General features: G+C 47.0%; 1 protein-coding gene across 7 annotated transcripts in view, besides 6 other annotated features; it reads right to left on the reverse strand.

Moving 5' to 3' along the window:
• Positions 1–12,825, reverse strand: part of RBM19 (RNA binding motif protein 19) — a 149,586-nt gene extending 136,761 nt beyond the window's left edge. For all 7 annotated transcript variants that reach the window (XR_001748932.2, XR_944848.3, NM_001146699.2 and 4 more), the window contains exons 1-7: positions 12,692–12,825; positions 8,732–8,914; positions 6,559–6,678; positions 6,365–6,403; positions 5,712–5,904; positions 4,282–4,550; positions 1,631–1,711 (exon numbers count right to left, since the gene is read on the reverse strand). Coding sequence is in view for 5 of the 7 variants with exons in the window: in NM_001146699.2 (NP_001140171.1) it covers positions 1,631–1,711; positions 4,282–4,550; positions 5,712–5,904; positions 6,365–6,403; positions 6,559–6,678; positions 8,732–8,914; positions 12,692–12,727 (921 nt within the window). In the remaining 2 variants the exon portion in view is untranslated. The remainder of the gene's footprint in view (positions 1–1,630; positions 1,712–4,281; positions 4,551–5,711; positions 5,905–6,364; positions 6,404–6,558; positions 6,679–8,731; positions 8,915–12,691) is intronic.
• Positions 9,037–9,086: an enhancer, noted in NCBI's record as "active region_7075". NCBI's record gives its function as "activates an Ori minimal core promoter by ATAC-STARR-seq in GM12878 lymphoblastoid cells {active_cell/tissue: GM12878}" and the evidence as "EXISTENCE:reporter gene assay evidence [ECO:0000049][PMID:35858748]".
• Positions 9,227–9,276: an enhancer, noted in NCBI's record as "active region_7076". NCBI's record gives its function as "activates an Ori minimal core promoter by ATAC-STARR-seq in GM12878 lymphoblastoid cells {active_cell/tissue: GM12878}" and the evidence as "EXISTENCE:reporter gene assay evidence [ECO:0000049][PMID:35858748]".
• Positions 11,247–12,175: an enhancer, noted in NCBI's record as "H3K27ac-H3K4me1 hESC enhancer chr12:114402552-114403480 (GRCh37/hg19 assembly coordinates)". NCBI's record gives its function as "activates a minimal SCP1, AML or CMV promoter by ChIP-STARR-seq in primed H9 embryonic stem cells {active_cell/tissue: H9 hESC(primed)}" and the evidence as "EXISTENCE:reporter gene assay evidence [ECO:0000049][PMID:30033119]".
• Positions 12,176–13,103: an enhancer, noted in NCBI's record as "H3K27ac-H3K4me1 hESC enhancer chr12:114403481-114404408 (GRCh37/hg19 assembly coordinates)". NCBI's record gives its function as "activates a minimal SCP1, AML or CMV promoter by ChIP-STARR-seq in primed H9 embryonic stem cells {active_cell/tissue: H9 hESC(primed)}" and the evidence as "EXISTENCE:reporter gene assay evidence [ECO:0000049][PMID:30033119]".
• Positions 12,176–13,131: a biological region, named in NCBI's record as "H3K27ac-H3K4me1 hESC enhancer GRCh37_chr12:114403481-114404408".
• Positions 13,062–13,131: an enhancer, noted in NCBI's record as "active region_7077". NCBI's record gives its function as "activates an Ori minimal core promoter by ATAC-STARR-seq in GM12878 lymphoblastoid cells {active_cell/tissue: GM12878}" and the evidence as "EXISTENCE:reporter gene assay evidence [ECO:0000049][PMID:35858748]".

Genomic DNA, 26,232 nt, shown 5'->3' on the forward strand with positions numbered 1-26,232 from the left:
ACAACAAGATATACACGATCTACAAATGTGAGAGAGTATGATCCATCTTACAAGTAATTTAAAATATAAATTAACATGAGATGCCAATTTTACCTATCACATTGATGAAACATTAATAATACCCAGGGTTCAGGAAAATGGGCACTTGTAGACTCTGCTACAGCGAGCATAAACTAGCAATGCTCCCAGAGGGCAACTGATATTATGTGCCAAAGCCTTAGAATTGTACACACATTTGCCTACACAGAATATTTATCTGGAGCAAAGATCAGCAAACTATGGCCCACGGGCCAAATATCACCATGGTCTGCTTTTGAATGGCTTGCAAGCTAAAAATGGTTTTTACATTTTAAAGGATTACCAAAAAAAGAGAAAACAACGAATATGTGACAGAGATTAAATGGCTTACAAAGCCTGACATATTTACCATCTGGCCTTTACAGACGAAGTCTGCTCACCCCTAATCCCAAGGAACTGAATTATTATTTATAACAGCAAAAAATTGGATATAACTCCCACGTCCCAATTTAGGGGACTGAGTAAACCTACAGAAGTTTACCCTGAGTAAGGAAGAGCATGAGCATAAAAAATGCTGCTGTAGCAGAGTATATTCAATATTCAAAGAGGTCTATAACATACCATGATGAGGAGGAAAAAGGGGTTTCCAAAGAGTTCCCAGTAAATGATTGCTTCTTAGACATACAAAGACAAAAACGTCCAAGAAGAGGCTTCAGTGAGCTATGATGGCAGCACTGTACTACAGCCTGGGCAACACAGTGAGACCCTGTCTCACACACACACACAAAAATAATAATAATAAAAACTAAAAACAAAGGAAAACAAAACAAAAACCATCTAAGAAGACACACCCAAAATGTATCAGTGGACGTCACTGGGTAGATACAAGTGTGTTGGCCAGGGCAGCCCTAGTTTGCCTGGGATGAGTTGTCACTGTATTTGGAGTCGTTAGACCTGCGGTAATTACATCCACAGCCTGGCACCCCATTGGGGTAGCACCCCTCTCACTCTCAATTTAGTGTAGATGATAATTTAGTAGTCATCCTACTTACAGGCAATTTTTAAATATTTTTTATTTAGCTACATGGTTTTGAGTTTTCTATATTGAACTACTACTTTCACGAAGAACGAAAATTAAGTGTTCTTCTGCTGTTACAGACCCAAAGGCAGCAAACTACAGTCCACAGGCCAAATCTGGCTCACTGCCTGTTTTTGTAACTAAAGTTTTATTTATTTTTACCTACTTTCTGAGACTGCTTCCTTGCTATAAGAGCAGGGTGAGTAGTCACAACAGAGACCGTGTTGATCACGAAGTCTTAAATATTAACTGGCTGACTGCCCCCACAACCTTTTCTTTAACAGAGTGTGTGCCCACCCTGGTGTGGGTACTGGTGAGTGAAACCAGAACCTCCTTTGTCTTGGTGTAGCCATGCCTGTTTCCTGACCCTGACGATGCCGGAGATGTTATTTCTCAGCCTTTTTGGCCCCCAATTCCTTCCAGCTCATGTCCTCAACCGACTCTAATGCCCCCATGCACCAAAGGCTCCTGGCCTCCCCACCCTCGTCTCCTGCTCCCGCAGGCTGCCGACCCTTGTCCTCAGTTAGCACATACCTCTGTGACATTGAACGGGGCTCCCCGCAGCTTCACGGTGTGGCAGGTGGTGGGTTCCTTCTGGTTTGCTGGTTTCTCTGTCTGAGTGATCACAAAAACAAACAGAAGTGGCCACACTAACCCTTCGTACAGCTGCAGGAGGTGGCACACTGGGACATTTCAGTGCCAGAGAAGGTGCCTGCCGCCAGGGGGAGCTGGGGAATGCTGGGAAGAATCAATGTCCACCGTGTATGGAGTCTGGCCAGAGGTGGGGCTAGGTGATGCCAAGTCTCCATGTGCCCCTGAGACGAGGGCTGGAACCAGAGCCTGGCAAGCTATGGGCACCTGGACAGGGACCCTGGGGCTACAAGGAGGGGCAGGGTGGGAATGTGAAGGAGCCCTGAAGAACGGGGTGTCAGTACCACTATGTAGGGCTTATCAGTGCCAGACACTAAGCCAAGCACTTTACAGATGCCAGTGATCTACTACATCTTCACAACAATCCCATGGGGATTATGGGTTCAGGATCCTTTTTCCCACAACTCCGGAATCCAGACACCTCTGAAAAAACCTAAGTTTCTGGTAACCTTTATGGCAACAAAACCTGCCCCGACTTGAATGCACTTCCCAGCAAAGCCTGCCCTGAGTGGATGTGAGCCCATATATAGCTTATGCTGATTCACGCAGCGCAAGCAGTCTTGTCCATGCGTTGCAGAAATGTGACTGCGCTTGACCGTGGGGTGCTGCCTTTTATCCTGTATTTAGTAACAAGGTAGGCAGAGGGGAGTGAGCCCTGCTGGGGGTGCTGCATTCCAGAGGGTTCTCTTCCTGAAACCTGAAGATTCCAGAATTCCAGCATATACTTAGGCACGGGGTCAGAAACCGGAGGCAGGGAGCAGTGCTACCATGAGTGCCTTTTTGTAAACGAAAATTCAGAGGCTGAAGGAAGTAAAGTATCTCACCCAAGGACCAACAGCCACTAAATGATGGAACTAGGATTTGAACTCATAATTCTGACTTCCCCACACTCTACTACCTCACTGAAATATACAATTTTGGGGGGGAAGAAAAGGACAGAGTGCATAATTAGAAGAGGCAGAAAATAAAAGGAGGGAGGAAGAAGAAAGGGAAAAGAGGAAAGAAAAGAGGATGAAGCTTGCTTTCATCTCATTTGAAAATACAGGGCTGGGGCCAGGTGCAGTGGCTCAGGCCTGTAATCCCAGCAATTTGGGAGGCTGAGGTGGGTTGATCACTTGAGGCCAGGAGCTCAAGATCAGCCTGGACAATATGGTGAAACTCCATCTCTACTAAAAATACAAAAATTAGCTGGGTGTGGTGGTGTGTGCCTGTAATCCCAGCTACTCGGGAGGCTGAGGCATGAGAATCACTTGAACCCGGGAGGCAGAGGCTGCAGTGAGCTGAGATCACACCACTGCACTCCAGCCTGGGCGACAGCAAGACTGTCTCAAAAAAAAAAAAAAAAAAAAAAAATACAGGGCTAGGCAGGGAGAGAAGTGATGCTTCACAGAGAAAGGAGGGAACAGGGACCTGGACAACATGTCAAACTGCTCTGTCTCTGATGCAGAGAGGACTCCCAGGTCAGAGACGAGTTGGCCGACCTCTGGGGAAGCGCCCACGTTTATGATCTCGACTTCAGACCCCACAGACCTGGGGCTAAGTCCTGAACCCACCATTTCCCAGCCATGACCCTGGCTGAGGCACCTTCCTTCTCCAGGCCTGTTTCCTCATCTGTAAAATGGAACAAGACCAATACTGCCCTCCAGATAGTGATGAGATGCAACGGCACGGCAGGCATGGTGCCTAGTGTGTAGCGCAGGCTCAGTTGATCCTCCCTATGATTGCTGATGACTGGTCTGCACCCCTCTGCCTGTGTTGTTACTAAATACAAAGGATAAAGGCTCAAAGCCATCACTCAGCTCACTTCTGCCCCATTGGTGGGATATGGGTGTGTTGACCGGGGCTGCTCCAGTTTGCCCGGGATAGTTGTTCACTCTATCTGTAGTCATTAGACCTGCAGTAACTACATCCACAGCCTGGCACCCCACTGGACTAGCATCTCACTTTTAACTTAGTGTTGACAATAATTTAGTTGTCACCCTACTTATAGGCAATTTCTGGAAGGCAGGTGACCTCTCCAGGTTAGCAACAGAAAATAAATGCAGAGGCTGGGTGCAGTGGCTCATGCCTATAATCCCAGCACTTTGGGAGGCTGAGATGAGTGGATCACTTGAGGTCAGGAGTTTGAGACCAGCCTGGCTAACATGACAAAACCCCATTTCGACTAAAAATACAAAAAATTAGCTGGGTGTGACTATAATCCCAGCTACTCAGGAGGCTGAGGCAGAAGAATCACTTGAACCCAGGAGGCGGAGGTTGCAGTGAGCTGAGATTGCACCACCGCACTCCAGCCTGGGTGACAGAGTGAGACTCTGTCTCAAAAAATAAAATAAAATAAAATAAAAATAAAAACAGAAAAGAAACGCAGAAAGAACACACGGCGAGCAAGCGGCAGGGCCAAGATCGGGAAGGCTTTGGACTGCAGAGCTGCGTCTTTCCCCAACATTCCGCTCTCCTAACAGAGGAGCTGTGGGGACCACGGGCAAGCAGGAGAGCGCACCTCCTCCCTCATCACCTGCGGGATACACACGCACCTCGGCTCTGGCCTCCGGTGGTCTCTTTTTCCCAGCTGGCATCCCTTGCTCTTGGCCTGCACCCTTGCTGTCTCTTTCCTGCAGGACTGGGGTGGCGGAGGAATCCTCTTCCTCGGCCTCACTCCCTTCATCACAGTGCACGGCTTCATCTTCACTTTCCTCTTCCTCCGAGGAAGAGGACGACCCAGCCTTCACCATCTTGGATTTCAGGTAATCCATGTCCGACAGCTCCTTCTGCACAGCTGCCTTTGGTTCGAGGCTTGCCTCTTCTGGAAAAACAGGGAAGCTGGGATCAGCGACAGCTATGAGCAAACCAGAGGTCAGAGGTAGCAAATGGTAGATGGTCCTCCTAGTGAGAGGCCTGAGGCACCATGCCCACCGTGTCCATGGCCCCTGTGCCCAGCATCCCCCATAAGTCCTCTGATTAGCAATACCAAAACGGGGCAGGGCTACTGCAGCTTTGATATTCTCTGTGCCACACATTGAGCTCCTGGCTCCCTGCCACCAGCCATGTCTTCCTAGTCCTCTACACGGCAGCCTCTGTGACACTTTACAGAGTAGGTACAGGACGGTCAGTCTCTGCTTAATACCCTCCAGGGGTTTCTGAATGCTCAGGGTGAAATCCAGGCTCCTCATCAGGGCTGGCTGCGTGGGCTTCTTCCACTGTCTCCTCCTGCTCAAGCCATCCCAACCCACATTGAGCCCCTCAAGCCCATGCACTTTCCTTTCCTCTGTGTCTCTGCGATGCTGTTCCCTTGACTGGAACCCCTTTCCTCTCCCCTCCCCTACCGTGTCCCACTAAGTCCCCTGAGTTCCTCGGATGTGAACTTAGTGCAGAAACGTTACCAGGCATAACTGCACTAAATGTACATCTTCTCACCTTTAGACCCAAATAGATGCCCAGTTCTCCACCAAGCACGTACCCTCCTGTGTTGCAACTGTTTTCTTGCCCACCAGGCCTCCCCCACACCACAAACCCCTTCTGAGGACAAAGGCTCACTCCCTCACCTCCTCAGGGAGGCCTTCCCTCATAATTCTCCTGTCGCCTTTCCTGCTTTCTCTCTGTAGCATTCATCATCCTATGATATACCCAACAGTGGACTTATTTGCTTATTGTTTCTCTCCACAACCATAATCACAGCTCCATAGGGGAATAAACCCTTCTGTCTTTTGCTTATCAACATGGTCCCAATGCCTGAAGTATGCCTGGCAGATAATAGGTGCTCAAGAAATATTTGTTGACTGACTGACTGAATACACAACTAGGATCAGTGAAGACAGATGCACCTGCAGAGGGATCATCACCCCCAATGGAGAGCTCAAGGGCTCACCTGACTCCTAGAGTCTGCACAGAGGGGCCCCCAGTGCCGGTTAGCCCAATGGCAAGCACAGGTCCGTGCGCATGGAGCACACAGTCCCCATGCCCTCACCTTCCAGGTCCTCCCCGGCTCCCTCCTCCTCACTCTCCTGCCCAGAATCGGAGTCGAAGTTCAGGTAGTCACTGGCCGGCTTGCTCTTCCCTTTCGAGGGCTCAGCATCCAGGCCATCATTCGCCCAAGTGGCTGCCTGCGCCCGCCTCTGATGAACTGACAGAAACTCCTGGAACTCTGTATCCTCCTTCAGCTGGTGGCACCAGAACCCGGGCGGCAGGGACACGGGAAAAAGAGAGAGGAAGAGGCAGAGAAGGCTCAGGTGGGGCTTGATCTTTCTAACTCTTAAGAGGGTGAGAAGATCCCTCAAGCTAATTTCCCCCATTCTCTGGAGGACCCCGAGGTTCAGCTGGGTCAGTTCTGAGGAAGGCAGAGTTGACTCCTCACTAGACAAAACTAAGAGGACAAGAAGACAAGGCCAGGGGAGACCAGAGGCACAGCTCTGCTTGCCAGGGCCAGCCTCCATCCTCTCCAGCCTCTTCCCTCTCCCAGTGTCCACCCTCTCCAGCCTCTTCCCTTTCCTAGCCTCCACCCTCTCCAGCCTCTACGGTCTCCTAGCCTCCACCCTCTCCCAGCCTCTACCCTCTCCAGTCTCCACCCTCTTCCACCTGCTGCCCACCCTCTCTCCTCCTTGGGCAACAGGACAGACTCACCTTCTCCAGTTGACCTGCCACCTTTTTCTTCTTCTCATCCTGAAAACAGAAGGCACAGAGAGTGAGGGTCACACAGATGAAGAGAGCTGGGAAACAGAACTGCACTGACCTGGGAGGGCCCATCTTTGGGAACCAAAAGTGAGTGACTACCCTGCTGGCAGTGGGGACAGAGGCTAGAGTGACCCTTTACATACTTTCTTAATTTCTGGAGTAGTAGAGTCTTTTGGAGGCTGCTTGGGCTGGCTTGGTTTCTGGGCATGTTTGCTCCAGGCTCTGGGTTTGGCCGGGTCCCCGAATGACTTGCAGAACTCCACCTGTGTGGGAAAGAGAGTGATTTTCACACCTGCCATGGCACCCAGGCGTTGGGTGCTGCCCTTCGGCACCTGGGAGCTCGGGCATTTCAGACAACTGTCACTGCCTAGCTGAGTTTGCTGAAGTAGATTACACGTCACCCCTTAGCCTGGGCTTTCTTTCCCTTCAAGTCTAGAATACAATACTCTAACAGTCTATCATTATGAGTCTGTAATACTGTAATGGTAATAGCTGCCACTTACTGAGGAACTCCACATGCCAGGTACTGTCTGAAGTGCTCTGCAAGTACTGATACACCGAGCCTCTCATGTCAGTGACAGCTATGACTTTCTACAATTCAGATCAAGAAATTGGAGCATCAAGAAGTCAATTTCCCTGGCTTACCCAGGTAATAAGTGACAGAGTGAAGACTGGAACTCAGGGGGTCTCTGGGCTCTGGAACCTGAGTTCTTAACCATCCACTCTACCGGGCGGCTGTGAGGATGGCATGAGATGACCTGGGCCAAGCACTCAACCAGGCTCTGGGCAGGGTAATGTGGGGCAGTGGCTACCACAGTTACCCCACACTGCCCTGGGTTAATTATCATAAAGTAAGCTCATCTGGCTCCAGAGAACAATTCTAGGGTGATAGGGGCACTGGGGTGACCACTGGAGGGACGGAAGAGTACTGGAGACCCAGCCTGAGCTGACGCACTATTCAGGCCCTAAAACCTCCAATACACTCCTCTGAGAGGACTTTGAGAGCGCTGGTTACTGGGGCATCCACCACCGCAAGCCACTCCCAGCCACAGTTAAGGCTGACGCTGGTCAACCAACCACTGCCCCTGGGGGAAGGAGCTGCCATCTGGTTGCAATCCTTTTTAAGACACAGGGTCTCACTCCGTTGCCCAGGCTGGACTGCAGTGGCATGATCATAGCTCACTGCAGCCTCAAACTCTTGGGCTCAAGTGATCCTCTTGTCTCAGCCTTCTGAATACCTAGGACTCCAGGCACATGTCACCATGCCCGGCTAATTTTTTTTTTTATTTTTGTAAAGACGCAGTCTTGCTATGTTGCACAGGCTGGTCTTGAACTCCTGGCTTCAAGTGATCCTCCCACCTCAGCCTCCCAAAGTGCTTGTATTATAGGCAGGAGCCACCACACCTGGCCAGTTACAATCCCTTTTGTGCACACTTCCAAAATAGGCTTGTTATCTCTATAATAATGACATGCTCACGGTACAAAATTCAAATAATATACAAAAGTACAATGGAAGTTAAAAAAGATGTACTCCAATTCCTATCACTCATGGAGAGGAATGATTAGTATTTTGGTACAAATCCTATCCTATGGCCTTCTATGCATTTATCATATATGTATGGATAGAGGAATACGATTGTGTCTATATAGGATCACGAGACATATATATATTTATCCATCATCTGTTTTTTCCTTCTCAACAAAGCATTAGAGATGTTTTTACGAAGTCACTAAATACACGAGTGACCTGAGTGGAGCCCACTCCTCCAGGAAGCTTTCCTGACTCCTCCCTGGTCCGGCTATAGATCTTTGTTCTCCCACAGTCCCTGGGGCTCACCCTATCATAGCACTGATGTCACTGAGCCAAAGCAGCCTGCTGACCTGTCAGCCCCCTGCCTGCCCAGAGACAGCAGGCTCCATGAGGACAGGGGCTGAGGCATCACCTTTTTCTCTAAACTCCCAGCATCATTGAGTGCTTGCTAAATGCATGAGTGAATGGATGAGGTAGAGCTGTGGTTCTCAAGGTGTGGGCCTCAGACCAGCAGCATGGTCGTCACCTGAGGGCTTGTTGGATGTGTGAATTCTTGGGTCCTGACTCCATGCACTGAATCAGATGCTCTGGGGACGGGCCCAGGAAGCTGTTATAATAAGCTCTCAGGTGATTTGTATGCACATGAAAGTGTGTGAATCGGTGAGGAAGAAAACCAAAGACATCACAAAGTGAAGAGGGACGGTCTTTGAACTCAAGTGCTGAGTGAAAGATCAAACAACGTCACACTTGACAGGAAGGTAAGGGTGAGACTCCTGCCCACTCACTGTGATCCGGGATGTGTCGATGAAGCTCTTGTTGAAATGCTTCTGTGCCTTCTGGGCCTCTTCCTCGGACTTGAAGCCAATAAAACCAAACTTGCGGAACTTGCCATCTTTGGTGAACTTCAGGCTGCAGTCTGTCAGCGTGCCGAAGGCGGCAAACAGCTGCCTGAAACGCTCCTCCTTCATCTAGGACAGAGGGAAAGGAATGAGAGACGAACTGGAAAGTCCCCAGAGCAAGGGGACAAAATGGGCTGGAAACCTGAGGCCACGAGATTCTCCAAGGGTGGCCTTAGATGAAGAGGGGCAGAGTGTACTTTTCTAGTTACAACAGGTTCCAGCTCTGACTCTAGCACGAGTTGTGTGGCCTTGAGAAAGTCCCTTAACCACTCACTGATGTGGAAATCATGACTCATAATGGCTGCAAATGACATCTTCCTACCCTATGGGGCTCCTATGAGGATAAGACCAATTACAGAAGCAGTATTACGTCTGCTACATAGTAGATACCTAATAAATACTTGTAGGAATAAATGAAAGAATGAACAGGCATGGTAAGCTATATATATCTTTGTTAATAAAGCCCCCCCAAAAGATGCCCACATCCTAATCCCTGGAAACTGTGGATATGTTACCTTACAAGGCAAAAGGGACTTGTCAGGTGTGACTGATATGGAGATGGGGAGATGATCTGGATTATGCAGCCAGGTCCAATGTCACCTCAAGGGTCCTTATGAGAGGGAGGCGGGAAGATCAGAGAAGATGGAAACAGAAAGATTGGAAGATGCTATGCTATTGGCTCCAAATATGGAGTATATAGCTATGAACCAAGGAAGGCAGGTGCTTCTAGAAGCTGAAAAAAGGCAAAGGGACAGATATTCCCACAGAGCTTCCAGAAGGACTGCAGCCCTGCCAAAGCCTTGATTTTAGGATTTCTGACCTGCAAAACTGTAAGATAAGGATTGTCTGGATTGTTTAAGCCACTAAGTTTGTGCTAATTTGCTATAGCTGCACTAAAAAACTAACACACTATTATTATAATTTGGTCAAGAAGCCCCACACTATGGAAAACAGGCTCCTGGCTTCTCACCATCTTCACTGCAGCCAGGCTACCCTCACAACTCAGTTTTCTAAGCAGATACTGGGATATTTGTGTGTGTGGTAGTGGAGTTGAGGGGACATTCAGGGCCCCACGAACAGCCAAAATAAGTTTGAAAATGCAAGAAGCTAGAGGCCTTGGCAGTCCAGCCAGAAGATGACATTTTCTGAGGTAGCTTCTTACTAACTGATCTAATCAAAATCTCAATCACACTGTGAGTTAGGAATTTTTGTCCACATTTTATAGAGAAAATGAAACTCATAAGGGATAAATGATCTGCCCAAGGCCTACAGAATCAAGGTTTGTGACTCAATTCAGAAATATAAGACAGTGAATTCAATTCCTCAGTGCCTGGGAGAGACCTGGCTCAAGTCTGAATCCATCATTCCTTTGCCAAAAACCTTTCGGTGACTTTCTGGCACCAAAGTCTCAAGGACGAGCACCTAAAGGAAAACATGCAATTCTTCAAGATCTGCCCTGACCAACCTCTTCAGCACCACGCTTTGACAAATTTCTCACAGCCTTCTCACTTCCGAGGTTTTACTTTGGTTGTCCCCTCTGGGTGATATTTCCCAAGACAGGCCCTGGCTAACTCCTCATTCTCAGTTCAATCATCTCCTATTCCAGGAGGCCTTTCTTAGATGCCTTAGATGGACGAGATAACCAACCCTCACTGTGCTCCCACAGCACTCGGTTCACATGTCAGTGATGCACCTTGCATCGTAATGATCTGGTGCCTCTCTTTTCTGCTAGCCTGCAAGTCCCATTAAAAATAAGGACACAGGCTTATCCACCTCTATCTACAGTGTCAGCAATATCACAAGTACTCACTACTAATTATTTCCTCAATTCAATCCCTAAACTAAAGATTGCTCAATTCAATCCCTGCTCTATAAATTACACCAGTGTGTGACCTCAGGCAAATCCCTGTACCTCGCTGTATCTTGGTTTCTTTACCTTTAAAATGGGCGTAAAAATAAAACTTACCTCACAGGGATATGGTGAGGATTAAATGTTACTTTACCTAAAGCACCTGGAACAGTGCCTGGCACACAGTAAACTCTCCAAGTGTCAGCTGCAACTGCCCTTGTTTTTATTATTCTTTCATTCATGAGATAAGACAAACAATGATAAGAGAGTCAACTACACTGTGAAGTGCAACAAAGCTGAATTTGGGAAGAAAAGGAAGTGCAGCCACGCTAAAAATCCTCATCGCACAAAGCAAGGCATCAAGAGACATGTCTAACCTGATGGATGGATGAGTAATAGATATTTTTAAGTATACTACTCAGAGATTATAACAGGATAATTAAAAACAAGAATATTACAGACACTGGAGAGGAGGAACAGATGATCTAAATTCCTTATTTTTCACAGTTGAGGCCTAGCAGATAGTCACTGGGGCAGGCAGGTCAAAAGGAGGAAAGTACACTCCTCAAATATACAGAGATACATGTGAGGAGTCCCAAAAACAAATCAATGAAGATGGTTACTCCTGGACAGAGAGGGAAGGTAGGACAGAGCAAAGACTTTGCTACTCATGTTATACACTACTATACTGTTTGAATTTTGAAAACTGTGTGTTACAAAGTTCCTTTGTCCCACCTGACAAATGAAAAAAAAAAAAGGAAAGGAAAAAACTCACAACATTAGAACAGAAATGGGGGCCAGGTGCAGTGGCTCACGCCTGTAATCCCAGCACTTTGGGAGGCCGAGGCGGTGGATCACCTGAGGTCAGGAGTTCGAGACCAACTTGTCCAACATGGCGAAACCCCATGTCTCTACTAAAAATAAAAAAATTAGTCGGGCTTGGTGGCGCGTGTCTGTAGTCCCAGCTACTTGGGAGGCTGAGGCAGGAGCATCGCTAGAACCCGGGAGGCAAAAGTTGCAGTGAGCCGAGACTGCCGAGATTGCTCCACCGCAGTCCAGCCTGGGAGACAGAGCCAGACTCCGTTTAAAAAAAAAAAACAAAAAAAGAAAAAAACAAAAAACAAAACCAAAAAAAGCCATGAAAGAGAGAGAAAAAAAAGAGATAAGACAAACAATGATAAGAGAATCAACTACACTTGAAACACAACAAAGCTGAATTTGGGAGGGAAAGGAAGTGCAGCTACGCTAAAAATCCTCATCCCACAAAGCGAGGCATCAAGAGACACTGTCTAACCTGATGGAAGGAGCAGTAATCCATTTAAAAACAAAAAAACAAAACAGAACAAAAAACAGCGAGAGAGAGAAAAAAGGATGATCCATTCGAGCCCACCGCATCTAATCATCTAATATTACGTACATTCACCTATTTTGCCTACCACGTGTCGGGTTCTGCGCTGGGCTCCAGGGAAACAAAAAAGTATGGCTGGGTCACCACTCCCCACTTACTGGATAAATGCTGTAAAGCCCTTTACCCACTCCGTATTCCTACTTGCCCTAAGGATGGGAGTGGGAATTGGAACGCAGGTCCGCAGATTAATATTCCCCATGTCTTCCCCAACAGTTTCCAGACTGGGAGAGGAATATAAATACAGTGTCGGACCATGTCCCGGGTCAACAACTAAAAAACAGTGATCGAATGAAAGAGGTTGTGGGAGCAGGGTATTCGCCACAAGGTGGGAGTTGTCATCTCCCCGAGAAGAGGTGTGTTAGGAGTCAGGTACCAAACAACCGGCCGTGAAACCGTAAGCAGTCACTATTCCTCTTTCCTCGGGATCAAATGGGGATAAGCCCAGGATCCCGCCCCCTTTGAGTTCAGAATTGGCCCGGAGTCCTGCCCCAGAGCAAAAATTCTTCGATCACCTCCAGGCATCTCTTCCCTACCTCACAGCTCCCGGCTGGTCTCATTTCAGATTCCCAAGTCCTGCCTCTGCACTCACCCCATTCGGGAGATTCTTCACGATCAGTCGCGACATGGCGCAGGGTCCCCGCTGTTTTGATTCCAACACGACTGGTCAGCGTCTTCCACCAAGTTTCACGCTACCGCCCTGGGCGCCGCCATCTTTACCGAGCCGGAACACAGTCACGTGGCTGAGACCTTGGCCTGACCTGTCCGGAAGTAGGCGTGGCTAATCCAAAACTACTCAGGGAGGTCACACCCCACAAGGGGTGGGCCTGGGCGCTTGCATTTTGCGCAGGCGCAGGGCCTTGGGCGGATTCTGTGAGACGCCAATGCAGCGGAGAAGGCGGCAGGGGGCGCCGGTCCCTAACATGCGCCGGTTTAGCTCGGTGTTAAGGGTCGCGCCAACCGGGCAATCGCGTTCTCTCCTTTTTCTTATTTTATTTTTATTATTGAGCCTTAGGACTCCCCTGAGAACGGGGGCAAGATTAGGGACCCTTGCCTTCCTCGTAGAAATGGGGAAAGTGAAGTTTAGAGAGATTGCCAGCCAACACAAATCAAGTATTGAGCCTTTTGTGTAAATACTTGGAATGAACATGTTGGAAATAAACGCTCTCATTTTGCAGGCAGATAAACTGGGAATCGTGCGTGTAAAGCAGCTTGCTCAAAGTCTTATAACTATGAATTGGAAAGTCAGATTCGAGCTAGGGACTGCCTAGGGCCCTACAATGAGTCTCTACGCCTTCAACCCCAGCCCCACAAGCATTTTGCCTCCCTTCCTAATGTTTGGAACTCTCAGCTGGCCAATCTTCTAGCTGAGAGATCTTGGCCAAAATGGCCTCTGAGCCTTTGTGTCTACTTCTATAAAATGGGAATAATTCTTTATTATGCTAGGGGTTAAGGAGGTGAGAACGTGAAAGGGATGTTATTTTCCTATTGCTTCTCTGAGCATTCTCGGTACCTACTCTTGGATGGAGACATCCTATGAAAACCCCTATTTTCACTCTTAAATGACGGTATTTCCTTTCTGTTTCCCCACAGTGCCTCAGCTGCACTGGACGTTGCTGCCAAGCTTCTGCAATTTCCTTCACCTAAAAGACATTCCGTCCCCCCTTCTTATTGTTAACAGCTTTATCACAAACCATGCAATTCACCCACTTAAAGTGCACAATTCAATGGTGCTGACTATATTTACAGAGGTGTGCAGCCATCACCACAATCAATGCTAGGACATTTTCATTACCCCCAAAGAAACACCACACCCTTTAGCTATAACCTTCCAATTCCTCCCTCTCCCTTCCCTCTGATAACCACTAATCTACTTTCCGTCTCTATGGATTTGTCTGTTATGGACATTTCATGTAAATGGAATAATACAATATGTAGTCTTTTGTAATTGACTTCTTTCACTTAGCATAATGTTTTCAAAGTTCTTCCATGTTGCAGCATGAATCAGCACTTTATTTATCTGTTTATTTATTTGAGACAGGGTCGGGCTCTGTCACCCCGACTGGAGTGCAGTGGCACAATCTCAGCTCACTGCAACCTCCGCCTCCCAGGCTCAAGCCATCCTCCCACCTCAGCCTCCTGAGCAGCTGGGACTACAGGCACATGCCACCATGCCTGGCTAATTTTTTTTTTTTGGTAATTTTTTGGTAGAGGCGAGGTTTCAACATGTTGCCCAGGCTGGTCTTGAACTCCTGGGCTCAAGCAATCCACCTGCCTTGAACTTTCAAAGTGCTGGGATTACAGACGTGAGCCACCACACTTTTTTTGCTGAATAGTATTACATATATGGATGTATTACATTTTATTTATTCATCAGTTGATGATGGACATTTGGGTTGTTTCCGCTTTGTGGCTACTGTGAATAATCTTGCCGTGAACATTTACCTGTAAGTTCCTGTGTGGGCATATGTTCTTATTTCTCTTGGATATATTCCTAGGAGTAGGATTGCCTGATCATATGGTAACTCTATGCTTAACCTTTTTAGAACCTGCTAACCTGTTATCCAAAGTGGCTTCCCCATTTTATATTCCTACCAGCGGTATATGAAGGTTCAAATATCTCCACATCTCCTCCAGTGTTTGTTATTGGGTCTTTATAATCATAGCCACTCTAGTGGGTGTACAGTGGTGACTCAATGTTTTGATTTGCATTTCCCCGATAACTAATGAAACAGCATCTTTCATGTGCTTTTGGCCACTGGAATATCTTTCTGAACCCATTCCCATCCCCTCTCTAAGACCAGCTCAAACATGGCATCCTCGAATATGCCTCTTTCCTACTGAGCCCCAAATGCAGGGAGCTCATGCATCTGCCACAGCATAAACCTACAGAACTCGCTGGTGAGGAGCGCACAGTGTAGGTTCAGAGTTATAGATGAGGCCACTTGTTCTTTCTACATTATGTTGCCATAGGGGCATCCTTAGATCCATCTTTGCAAAGCATCACACTGGGCACCAGGAGGAGACAGGTAATAGGAGTTCATTAAATGCTAATTGTAAATTAAGGTCTGTCCATTCAACAGAATTCTATGCAGTTGTTAAAAAACGGTAGGTATGTAGCTATAAATGTTTTTGAAGGAAATGCATCAGTCAGCAGGACACAGAGGTATACTCAAAAGGATTTAACAAAAGCAAATCTGGACAAAAAGCTATTTACAGAAGGGTGGGCAGTGTAGTGGGATGAATGATCCCCTGTCCCCTCACCACCACACACACTGGGGGCATCCTGACCCCTGGAAGCTGTAAATGTGACTTTATTTGCAAAAAAGTGTTGTATTAGTTTGTTCTCACGCTGCTAATGAAGACATACCTGAGACTGGGTAATTTATAAAGGAAAGAGATTTAATGGACTCACAGTTCCACATGGCTGGGGAGGCCTCACAATCATGGTGGAAGAGCAAGGGATGTCTTACCTGGTGGCAGGCAAAGAGAGAATGAGAACCAAGTGAAAGGCTTTCCCCTTATAAAACCATCAGATCTCGTGAGACTTATTCACTACCACGAAAACAGTATGGGGAAACCACCCCCATAATTCAATTATCTCCCACTGGGTCCCTCCCAGGACACGTGGGGATTATGGGAGCTACAATTCAAGATGAGATTTGGTGGGGACACAGCCAAACCATATCAAGGGTCTTTGCAAATGTACTTAAGGGTCTCAAAATGAGATCATCCTGAATTATCCTGGTAGACCCTAAATCCAATGACACATGTCCTTTTAAAGGACACACAGAGAACGTCATGTGTAGGTGGAGGTAGAGTCTGGAGTGATGCAGTCACAAGTCAACGAAGACCTGGAGCCACCAGAAGCTGAAAGAAGCAAGGAAGCGTTCTCCCTTGGAGGTTTTGGAGGGAGCATGGCCCTGCTGGTGCTTTGGGGGATTCTGGCCTCCAGAAATGTGAGAGAATAACTTTGCATTGTTATGCCATCTAATTTGTGGTAATTTGAGACAGCACCTGCAGCAAATGAATACAGGAAGGGTTAAGGGAACCAACAAAGGATGGCCAAACCCCAGGGCCTGGCAACAGTGGGGAGCTATCACCACCCCTGGGGCTGAAGGGCAGAGTAGGACATGTCATTCCTGAGCTTCAGTGATGCCAGGAGCCATGGAAGAGGGACGTACTTTAAGGACTAGAGCTATAGAGAGATACAGCCACTGTGGAACCACAGGTGTGTGTGTGTCGGGGATAAATACACTGTCCCCTCTTTCTCTTCCCAACTGCAGTTTCCTACTGGAGCCTCCCCTTGGCCGAACCAATGGGAAGCTGGAGGCATGATCACAGATGTTGCAGTGCACACAGATTGCATCTGGGGCACAGAGCAAAGTGGAGGAGCAGGCTCAGGGAATGGGAGATGGGCTGTTAGAGAAGAACTAGCACATGGGACATGGGACAATCTCCAAAATATATTGTTAAGTGAAAACCAGCAATATACTAAATAATGTATTATGTATGCTTTCACTTAGGTAAAAACAAAACACACACACAAAAAAAGGAGGGAGATGGGTGAGGATACATAGATACTTGTCATGTTTGTAGGCCAGGGTAGTCGTAAATTTCCAAATGTATTGTCTTGCAGTTCTGAAGGCTAGAAGTTCGAGATGAAGGTGTTGGCAGCGCCGGTTCCTTCTGAGAGCCGTGAGGTTGAATCTGTTCCTCCCTGTCTCACTTCTGGTGGTGTGCTGGCAATCTTTGACACTCTTTGGCCTGTAGACATGTCACCCCGATCTCAGCCTTCATCTCCACATGACAGTCTCCCTGTGTCCATGAGTTCATGTTCAAACTTCCCCATTTTAAAAGACATTGGATTAAAGCTAATTCTAATGACCTCATTTTAATATAGTTACCTCTGTAAACACTCTATTTCCAAATAACATCACTTTGTGAGGTATGAAAAGTTAAGACTCCAACATAGGAATTTGGAGGGGACACTATATATGATTTATGTAAGCAAAGGCGATCTCAAAAGATACATGAGGAAGTGGTAACAGCAGTTGCTTCTGGGGAGGGGACCGAGGAAGTGAGTATACGGATGGATGGAAATGTCCTTTACCTTGAGTAACCTTTTATAATTTTGATATTTCATTATGAAAAAATTACCTATTATTTTTAATACATTAAAATGTTAATCATGTATAAACTACATCTGCATATATTTATACTTAACCATAGGGTAAAGTCAACAAGCATGTATATTAATTGTGGGCATTTCTGCAGGATGGCTTTGGAGGGGTGAAATTGTAGGGAGCCCAGTAAATCTTTATGTATTTATTTTGGGTTTTGTCTTTTTTTTTTTTTGAGACGGTAACTGGGATTATAGGTGCACACCACCGTGCCTGGCTAATTGTTTGTATTTTTATTACAGATGGGTTTCACTGTGTTGGCCAGGCTGGTCTCAAATTCCAGACCTCAAGTGATCCACCTGCCTTGGCCTCCCAAAGTGCTTGGATTACAGGCATGAGTGACTGTGTCTGGCCTTTTTTTTTTTTTTTTTTTTTTTTTTGAGACAAGGTCTTGCTCTGTTGCCCAGACTGGAGTGCTGTGGTGTGATCAGGCCTTACTGCTGCCTTGATCTCCTGAGCACAAGTGATCCTCCTTCCTCAGCCTCCGAAGTGGGTGGGACTACATGCATGCATTACCACACCCAGCTAATTTTTAAATTTTTTGTAGAGACAGGGTCTGGCTTTGTTGCCCAGGCTGGTCTCAAATTTCTGGGCTCAAGTGATCCTCTCGCTTTGGCCTCCCAAAGTGCTGGGATCACAGGTGCACGCCACCATGCCCGGTCTGTATATGTTTTAAATCAGAGATTGGCAAACTTTTTCTTAAAAAGTCAGAGAGTATTTCACTATGTGGTCTCTAATGCAACTTCTGCATCCTGCTACTGTATTTTGAACACATCCAGAGCTAACATCTGTGGCCGTGTTCCAATAAAACTTTATTTACAAAACCAGGAAGCCACCCCATGAGCTATAGTTTTAAGTTACAGGATTATGGGGTGTATTGATTTTCTAGGGCTTCTATATCAAATTACCAGAAACTGGATGGCTTCAAACAACAGAAGTGTATTCTCTTGCAGTTCTGGAGGCCAGGAATTTAAAATCAAGGTGTCAGCAGCGCAGTGGTCTCTCCAAAGGCTCAAAGTGGAAGGATCCTTTTTTGTCTCCTCCAGTTTCTGGTGGCGGTAGGTATTCCTTGGCTTGTGGCTGCATAGCGTCCGTCTCTGCCTCTGTTTTCACATGACCTTCTCCACTCTGGTGTCTGAGTCAAATCCACCTCCCTATGCTTCCTCTTAGCAGGACACCTGCCATTAAGCTTAGGACCCACTGTAACTCCAGGTCAATCTCATCTTGAGATCCATAGGTGATTATATCTGCATAGACCCTTTTTCCAAAAAGAGTCACATTCACAGGTTTTGAGGATTAGGATGTAGGCATATCTTTTGGGGGCTGCTGTTCGACCCATGAGATCTGCTTGCTTTGTAGTAGTCTACTCTGAAGATCAGATTTCACCCTCTCTCTGTCTTGTGTAGACTGTCTATTCAATTAAAACACATATGCATGTAAAAATGTACCCTCAAGCCTGGAGTCGATGACTTACGGGTCACTGTGTTTCAAAGTCAACAGATATTTATTGTTATGTCTTTAATTAAATAATAACTGGAGGGTTGTTTCCTGCACACTGTGATATTTAACAGATATTTATTGATATGTGATATGAATTAAATGACAACTGGGGGGTTGTTTGCTCTAAACCGTGACCCTCGTTAGGGTGGGCTGGGGCAGGCTTTATGAGGCAGCTCTGAGATATTAGTTTTACAAGAGGGCCAATGTTGCCCAGCCAGTCCTAGTTTCACATACTTTTATTATTTTCATGAACTGCCTTTATTAAAACATACAATTCAATGTAGCCTGCCCTAAAAAAATTCACAAATCAGAAGGTCTTTCAAAGGTATTAAAAGAAAATGGAATGCCAGTTACGAATCCCCACATCCCAATTCTGGGTCCAGAAAATATGGTTGCCACATGTGGGGAGGAGAGACCATTCTCAGGCCATATATTCCCGTGCATTTAATAAGCAGCCACATTATAACATTATTATTAGTCTTCCTGCTCTCCAGCCTTCCTGTTTTGTCTCCTGCCTCCTTTTTTCTCCCATCAGAACTAATCCAGGGGCACCTAGATGCCACCAGGTTGGGCTCTCCAATTATACCTAGATGTTTAAAAAATTCAGTCCCGTCTAAGCCAGCTCCATCCCTGGGCTTCATCAGCGTACTTCTTTGGGAGGCTGAGATAGGAGGATCCCTTGAGCCCAGGAATTCAAGACCAGCCTGGGCAACATAGTGAGATCCTGTCTACAAAAAAGTACAAAAATTAGTAAAGTGTGGTGGCGCACGCCTGTAGACCCAGCTACTTGGGAAGCTGAAGTGGGAGGATCACCTGAGCCCAGGAAGTTGAGGCAGCAGTGAGCTATAATTGTGCCACCACACTCCAGCCTGGGCAACAGAGGGAGATCCTACCTCAAAAACAAAACAAAACAAAAAGCATAAGTGTACGTACTTGAGGACGTGAGAGAAGTAGTGCCTGGTCCCTGAGGGAATTAACTTCTCAGCTGGAGAAAGGCCAGTTATTGGGGAGGGATTCTAGAAGGTTCTAGAAGAGAATGGAGACAGGAGAGGAAAGCAAACTTGATTTCCTTCCTATGTCAGTTGGTCCCCATGAGTGGGACCAATGGGCACCCAGATGCTGTGGCTAGAAACCTAGGGGTCATCCTCAGCCCACCCCTCACTCATCAGCCTATGTCTAACCCATCATCAAGTTCTGCCAACCCCATTTTTTAAAGATTTGCCAAACACATCATCTTTTCCGTCTCCACCGCTATCAGGCTAGTCCAAGCCCATATTGTATTCATTTCCTGTAGCTGCTGTAACAACCCCAAATTTAGTGGCTTAAAACCACACACATTTATGATCTGCAGTCTGGACAGCAGAAACGCTAAAGCCGAGGGTGGCGGGGTAGGGGGGCGGTGGCAGGGCTGCTTCCCTCTGGAGGCTGCAGGGGAGAACCTGTTTCCCTTAGCTCGCGGCTCCTCCCTCCATCCTCAAAGTTCTCTCTTTGACCCTCTGGGCTGTGGTCACATCTCCTCTTCACTCTGACCCTCCTGCTGCACCTTTGTCACTACACTGGGCTCACCTGGATAATCCAGGGTCATCTCCTCACCTCAAAATCCTTAATTTATCAACTGAAAAAGTCCCTTTGCTGTAGAAGGCGATGTACTTACAGGTTCCCGGGATTAGGACGTAGACACCACTGGTGGACGTTATTCAGCCCACCAAACCTATCATCTTGCCCATGTTATTCCAGCAGCCCCCTCATTGGTCCCCTTGTTCTGTCTTTTACTTCTACGGTCTTGTTAAAACAAAAGCCAGACTGACCAGTGCCTTCTCTGCCTAAGCCTCCCAGTGCCCCCAGGGCCTGACCCAAAGAAGAAGGCGTCACCTCAGCCTCTGACTTTGCTTCATCCCTTCTAGCCTCCCTGCTCATCCTCAACCCCCTCCTGCAGGATTCTGCCCCGAGACCTTTGCAATCTGCCATGTTCTCTGCCTAGAGCACCTTTCCCCCTCCATGGGTCCCCTCTGTCACTTCCCCCAGGTGTCTGATCAAAGTTCATCTTCCCAGAAAAGCCTTCCCTGGCCACCATCTCTGAAAGGGCACCAACCATTCCATTCTACCCCATCCCTCTCATCCCCCATAGTCCATTTTTTTCTGTTTTCTTTTTCTTTCTTTCTTTCTTTCTTTCTTTCTTTCTTTCTTTCTTTCTTTCTTTCTTTCTTTCTTTCTTCTTTCTCTTTCTTTCTTTCTTTCTTTCTTTCTTTCTTTCTTTCTTTCTTTCTTTCTTTCTTTCTTTCTTTCTTTTCTTTCTTTTTTTTTTGAGACAGAGTGTCTAGCTCTGTTGCCAGGCTGGAGTTCAGTGGCACGATCTTGGCTCACTGCAACCTCCGCCTCCAGGGTTCGAGCGATTCTCCTGTCCTGGCCTCCTGAGTAGCTGAGACTACAGGCGCATGCCACCACACCGGCTAATTTTTATATTTTTAGCAGAGATGGGGTTTCACCATTTTGGCCAGGGTGGTCTCGATCTCTTGACCTCGTGATCCACCCGCCTCGGCCTCCCAAAGTGGTGGGATTACAGGTGTGAGCCTGGCCTAGTCCATTTTTTCATCGTGTTATTATGACCTGGCATTTCTTACTTTTTATGTGCCTGTTTGTTGGTCTCCCCCAGTAGCAGCATTATCCATGAAAGCAGAGATTGCTCTGATTTATGCACTGGGTGTCCCTGGCACCCAACCCTGTGCCCAACCAGACCCTCTGAGGCAAGACCTTTGGTTTGAATTGTTTTCTGACCCTTTATTGACCAAACCTTGAGGAATTGAGTCGATGGGTAACCATAGCTGCAATGCAAGAGAGATTTTGGGTGAGGGTTGGGGGTTGGGAGAGAAAGGAGAAGGAAACTTTCCCTGCTTGGCATGAGATGGGCAGGGTGAGGACAACAGTTTCAAGAGGTGAAAATGTGCACAGGAACTGAGAATTCAGCTTTGTTCAGGGTGAGGGGTAATAGGGAGAAAGCTGTTGCTCTCTTGCCCCAATCCTTCTGTCCCTTCTGGGCATGGTTCAGAGGCACTGGGGAGGACTTGTAGAAATGTATCATATAGCTATGCGGACACATTAATATTTATTGCACATTGTTTGCAATCACCAAGGATGGGCAACAGCCGAAATACCCATCAACAGAGAACCGATGAGACAATGGATAAAATATCATGTAGATGTTAAGAAAAGAATGAAGCAATGCTCAAGCCTCGATTTCAAATCCATTCTTTAATAAAAAGGACCAGGGCTATTTGGAGTAATGGCTATTTCTAGGGCTGGGGCAGGGAATACACAAGGTGAACCTGGAGTATCTTGTAATGCCAAAAAGTAAGAACGAGCTCAAAACAAAATTTTTTCCCTAATGGGACACAAGAGCCAACTGAAAGGGCTTCCAGTGTCCAAGGCTGGAATATTTTGAGTAACAAAATAAATAATATGGCCGGGCACTGTGGCTCAAGCCTGTAATCCCAGCCCTTTGGGAGGCCGAGACGGGCCAATCACCTGAAGTCGGGAGTTTGAGAGCAGCCTGGCCAACATGGTGAAACACCGTCTCTACTAAAAATATAAAAATTAGCCAGGCATGGTAGCGGGCGCCTGTAATCCCAGCTACTCGGGAGGCTAAGGCAGGAGAATTGCTTGAACCTGGGAGGTGGAGGTTGCAGTGAGCCGAGATCGCACCACTGTACTCTAGCCTGAGCGAAAGAGCGAAACTCCGTCTCAAAATAAATAAATAAATAAATAAAGTAGTATTGGATTATAACCCAAAGTATAAAATAAATATTCATAAGTCCAGTGACATAAATAAGTAATAGAAAATAAAATGGAGGATAGATAAATTGAGAATTTCAAATCATTTATGATAATACTTGTCCCTCAAGGCTGGGCATGGTGGCTCACAGCTTGTAATCCTAGCTCTCTGGGATGCCAAGGCGGGAGGATTGCTTGGGCCCAGGAGACCAGCCGGGGCAACATGGCAAGATCCCATCTCTACAAAAAATGGAAAATTAGCCAAGTGTGGCGGTGTGCACCTGTAGTCCCAGCTACTTGTGGGGCTGAGGTGGGAGGATTGCTTGAGCCCAGGAGGTTGAGGCTGCAGTGAGCGATGGTCTCACCCCTATACTCCAGCCTGGGCAATAGAGTGAGACCCTCTCTCAAAAAAAAAAAAAAAAAAAGAAGAAGAAGGAACATCACTTCCCAGCCTTATGTGTGGGCTGTGCATCATGACTTCCAGAGACTACACTACAGAAAAGGAGGGAGAAGAGTAGCTTTATGGTGGAGAAATCTGAGAAACATGACCTTAGCCAGGTGGTCAAGGTCAAGATCAACAGTGATAAGTCATGTTGATGTATGTATGCTTGATAGGAAATGACCATTCACCTCTGTGGTCATCCCCCCGGGGAACCATAACCAAAGTCTAATTATGAGAAAACATCAGACCAACCCCTGCTGAAGGACATCCTTCAAAATCCCTGGGCAGTGCCCCTCAAAACTGTCAAGGCCATTGAAAACAAGAGAAGTCTGAGAAACTGTCACAGCCAAGTAGAGCCTAAGGAATAAACCGAATATGGGATGCTGGGACAGAAAGAGGACATTAGATACAAACAAACAAATATCTGAATAGAGCATAGACCTGAATGAATAGTCATGTATCAGTATTGGTTCATTAATTGGGACAAACATTCCAGAGCAATGCTGACAATAAGGAAATCTGGGTACAGGGAATTCGGGAACTCTGTAAGGTTTTCACAACTCTTCTGTGAACTTAAACTGTTCCAAAATAGTTTATTAAATATTTCTTTTGTTGTTGTTGCCCAGGCTGGAGTGCAGTGATGTGACCTCAGCTCACTGCAGCCTCCACCTCCTGGGTTCAAGCGATTCTCCTGCCCCAGCTTCCCGAGTAGCTGGGATTACAGGTGCGCGCCACCACACACAGGTAATTTTTGCATTTTTAGTAGAGGTGGGGTTTCACCATATTGGCCAGGCTGGTCTTGAACTCCTGACCTCAAGTGATCTGCCCACCTTGGTCTCCCAAATGGTGGGATTACAAATGTAAGCCACCACACCTGGTCTATTAGATATCTCTAAAAAGACATTGTGAAAATGAAAAAAGAAGGGTTCAGTAATTCTGTATTTATAGATGTGTATTAATAGCCAAAGTATATTCCAAGTCATCAAGAAAGCACACGGCTGCACCTTGCTTTTTTGGCAACAATTCTGCAGGCTCACATGGTGCTGTATCCTTTACAGTGCACCAGATTGAGAGGCTTGTGACATCAATTTGCCTCAAAACTGATGATGGTGACTTTATTTTTTATTTTATTTTTCTGAGACATAGTCTCGCTCTGTCGCCAGGCTGGAGTACAGTGGCGCAATCTCACTGCAACCTCCACCTCCCAGGTTCAAGCGATTCTCCTGCCTCAGCCTCCTGAGTAGCTGGGACTACAGGCATGCGCCACCACGCCCAGCTAATTTTTGTATTTTTAGTAGAGATGAGGTTTCACCATATTGGCCACGATGGTCTCGATCTCTCGACCTCATGATCCATCCACCTTGGCCTCCCAAAGTGCTAGGATTACAGGCGTGAGCAACCGCGCCCGGCCTGATGATGGTAACTTTGATGGCTTGGTTAAGGGGGTGCCTGCCAGGTTCCTCTTTTGTAAAATTTTTCTTTTTGTCATTAACAAGTAATCTATGGGTTTTTAAAAATGTTGTTAGTATGTAGAAAGGCTCAGAGTTGGTACATTTTAGTTAATTTTTTTTTTTTGGCATACGTAGGTCCTGGGGCAACCTTCTTCTCATCTGCTGACATACAGGGAAACTGAGGCCCAGAAAGGAGGAAGCACTTGCCCAAGATCACATTGTAGAGACCAAGGCCAGGTTCAAGTTTGGCTCCCTTTGCTCCTCCCTGCGTGTGACCACCCCTAGGGGGCAGGAAGTGGACCCAGTGGAGGGGGGTGCTAGAGATGGTTGCCCTGGGGTGTCACCATCTGCTATGTTGAGTGTCACCAATGTAGCCCAGCATTTCACAACCCACCCCAAAAGCCCCTCTGAAGGGCAGCCTCCTATTCCCAGGCAACTGCAGAGGAGCCTCAAGGGAGAATCCAAGTGGCCAGGATGATTGGAAACAGGAGACCAGGTGTGCACTAGCTTCAGCCACATCTGCATGGAGACCAGGCAGTTCACCTGTGGCAGGTGGCAGCTGAGCCTTGGCCCTGGTGGGCCCTGCTGGGGGCCCAACATTAGAGATGTGGGGGCCCCTCCTTCTCTTGGCAGTGAAACAGAAATATTCACCTGGAAGGAGCAGAAACAACAAATCATTCACCAAACAGACTACGGCTGGGAAAAAGCTAAATTCACTCTGAGAAGACAAGCCAACGAGGGTCCTATCCCAGGCTCTGGAGGCTGCAAATTCCAGTGCCGCTTTAATTGGGGCTGGCTATGATGCTCAGTGGGGACCCAGGCAGTGTGCTGGGGATGGGATGGAATTAAAATCAGAATCATTGTCTTTCCTTTTTAAATTTTGCAGTGGTGCTGTGGGCTGATACCTCCTTCACACATACAGAGAATCATCAAGGTCTGGCTTAAAAAGAGAGTTCAGTTGAAGGAATGGTTTGCCAGAAAAAAAATAAATGAAAGAGAGCTCTTTTTTTTTTTTTTTTGAGTCAGGGTCTAATTCTCTCACCCAGGCTGGAGTGCAGTGGCACAATCACGGCTCACTGTAGCCTCGACTTCCTGGGCTCAGGTGATTCTCCCACCTCAGCATCCCAAGTAGCGGGGACCACAGGTGCACTCCACCACACTCAGCTGATTTTTAAAACAAGTTTTGTAGAGATGGGGTTTCTACAGGTTGCCCTGGCTGGTCTCAAACTCCTGGGCTCAAATGATCCACCCAACTCGGCTTCCCAAAGTTCTGGCATTAGAGATGTCAGCCACGACACCAGCCCCATCACTAAATTTGATTATGGTTCAACTAGACAGGGAGCTCTCTTCAGGGAGGCAGACATGATCATTCATTCACTCACTTATTATTCACATAGTTCCTGAGCACCTGCTCCGTGCCAGACCCTGTTCCAGGAACTGAGAATATAGCAGTGGTCAGGACAGACATGTTCCTTGTCCTTAGGAGGCTTATAGTCTAGTCAGAAAGACTGACATTAAAAGGCACACTCAAGCTGGGCATGGTGGCTCACTCCTGTAATCCCAGCACTTTGGGAGGCTGAGGCAGGCAGATCACCTGAGGCCAGGAGTTTGAGACCAACCTGGCCAACACGGCGAAATCCTGTCTCTACTAAAAATACAAAAATTAGCCAGATGTGTTGGCACATGGCTGTAGATACCTGGGAGGCTGAGGCATGAGAATGGCTTGAACCTGGGAGGTGGAGGTTGATGTGAGCCGAGATCGCATCACTGCACTCCAGCCTGGGTGACA

The sequence above is a fragment of the Homo sapiens genome, chromosome 12 (assembly GCF_000001405.40).
Source record: "Homo sapiens chromosome 12, GRCh38.p14 Primary Assembly".
Classification (NCBI taxonomy): domain Eukaryota; kingdom Metazoa; phylum Chordata; class Mammalia; order Primates; family Hominidae; genus Homo; species Homo sapiens.